Below are 2,092 nucleotides of genomic sequence, written 5' to 3' on the forward strand. Positions count from 1 at the left end.
TATTGCAACTTTTCCCATAGACAAAGAGTTAATATTTCTAATATACAAAGATTTTTTAAAAGATAAAGATCATTATAGAAGAAGGAAAAAAAGACTATGGGTATGCACAGACTTGACTGAAAACAAAATACAAATGTCCCTCATTTATATAAAAAGATCTCAAATCTGCACATAACAAGAAAATGGCAAATTAAAAATATAGTGATCTACCATTTTTCGCCAATCAATGATGAAAATTTAAAAGGTTGGCAATACACTCTTTTGACAAGGCTTTGAGCAACAGGCACTCCTGTCATTGCTGGAAGGAACAAGAAAGGTACAAGTCCTATGAAGGAGAATTTGGCAATACGTAGCAAAATAACATATGCACTGTGACCTTTTGATCCAGGAAGCCCACTTCCAGGAACCTGTCCTAAAGAAACACTGATAGAAAAGATAGGGATCAGTTCCAAGATGGCCAAATAGGAAGAGCTGCGGTCTGCAGCGCCCAGCTTGATCAACGCAGAAGACAGGTGATTTCTGCATTTCCATCTGAGGTACCTGGTTCATTTCATTGGGACTGGTTGGACAGGGGGTGCAGCCCACAGAGGGTGAGCTGAAGCAGGGCAGGGCATGGCCTTACCTGGGAAGCACAAGGGGTTGGGGGATTTCCCTTTCCTAGCCAAGGGATGCCATGATAGACTGTACCTGGAAAAACGGGACACTCCCACCCAAATACTACGCTTTTCCCAAGGTCTTAGCAACCGGCAGACAAGGAGATTCTCTCCCGTGCCTGGCTCTGCAGCTCTCACACCCACGGAGCCTTCCTCACTGCTAGCACAGCAGTCTGAGATTGAACTGTGAGGCGGCAGCCTGGCTGGGGGAGGGGCGTCCACCATTGTTGAGGCTTTAGTAGGTAAACAAAGCAGCTGGGAAGCTCAAACTGGGCAGAGCCTGCCACAGATCAACAAGGCCTACTGCCTCTAGACTCCATCTCTGTGGGCAGGGCTTAGCTGAACAAAAGGCAGCAGACAATTCTGCAGACTTAAACGTCCCTGTCTGACAGCTCTGAAGACAGCAGTGGCTATCCCAACACAGCGTGTGAGCTCTAAGAACAGACAGACTGCCTCCTCAAGTGGGTCCCTGACCCCATATAGCCTAACTGGGAGACACCTCCCAGTAGGGGCTGACTGACACCTCATATAGGCGGGTGCCCCTCTGGGACAAAGCTTCCAGAAGAAGGATCAGGCAGCAATATTTGCTGTTCTGCAATATTTGCTGTTCTGCAGCCTCTGCTGGTGACACCCAGGCAAACAGGGTCTGGTGTGGACCTCCAGCAAACTCCAACAGATGTGCAGCTGAGGGACCTGACTGTTAGAAGGAAAACTAACAAACAGAAAGGAATAGCATCAACATCAACAAAAAGGATATCTACACAAAACCCCATCTCTAGGTCACCAACATCAAAGACCAAAGGTAGAAAAAACCACAAAGATGGGGAGAAACCAGAGCAGAAAAGCTGAAAATTCTAAAAATCAGAGCATCTCTTCCCCTCCAAAGGATCGCAGCTCCTCAGTAGCAATGGAACAAAGCTGGATGGAGAATGACTTTGACGAGTTGACAGAAGTAGGCTTCAGAAGGTCGGAAATAACAAACTTCTCCAAGCTAAAGGAGCATGTTCGAACCCATTGCAAGGAAGCTAAAAACCTTGAAAAAAAGGTTAGACAAATGGCTAACTAGAATAAACAGTGTAGAGAAGACCTTAAATGGCCTGATGGAGCTGAAAACCATGGCACGAGAACTTCATGATGCATGCACAAGCTTCAATAGCCGATTCAATCAAGTGGAAGAAAGGATGTCAGTGACTGAAGATCAAATTAATGAAATAAAGCAAGAAGACAAGGTTAGAGAAAAAGATTAAAAAGAAATGAATAAAGCCTCCAAGAAATATGGGACTATGTGAAAAGACCAAATCTACATTTGATTAGTGTACCTGAAAGTGATGGGAAGAATGGAACCAAGTTGGAAAACGCTCTTCAGGATATTACCCAGGAAAACTTCCCCAACCTAGCAAGGTAGGCCAACATCCAAATTCAGGAAATACAGAGAACAC

The 2,092-nt window shown here is 45.0% G+C and overlaps 2 annotated features.

Annotated features, from left to right (window-relative positions):
- Positions 221–745: an enhancer, noted in NCBI's record as "H3K27ac-H3K4me1 hESC enhancer chr11:11712870-11713394 (GRCh37/hg19 assembly coordinates)". NCBI's record gives its function as "activates a minimal SCP1, AML or CMV promoter by ChIP-STARR-seq in primed H9 embryonic stem cells {active_cell/tissue: H9 hESC(primed)}" and the evidence as "EXISTENCE:reporter gene assay evidence [ECO:0000049][PMID:30033119]".
- Positions 746–1,269: an enhancer, noted in NCBI's record as "H3K27ac-H3K4me1 hESC enhancer chr11:11713395-11713918 (GRCh37/hg19 assembly coordinates)". NCBI's record gives its function as "activates a minimal SCP1, AML or CMV promoter by ChIP-STARR-seq in primed H9 embryonic stem cells {active_cell/tissue: H9 hESC(primed)}" and the evidence as "EXISTENCE:reporter gene assay evidence [ECO:0000049][PMID:30033119]".

Source organism: Homo sapiens, chromosome 11, assembly GCF_000001405.40.
Source record: "Homo sapiens chromosome 11, GRCh38.p14 Primary Assembly".
Classification (NCBI taxonomy): domain Eukaryota; kingdom Metazoa; phylum Chordata; class Mammalia; order Primates; family Hominidae; genus Homo; species Homo sapiens.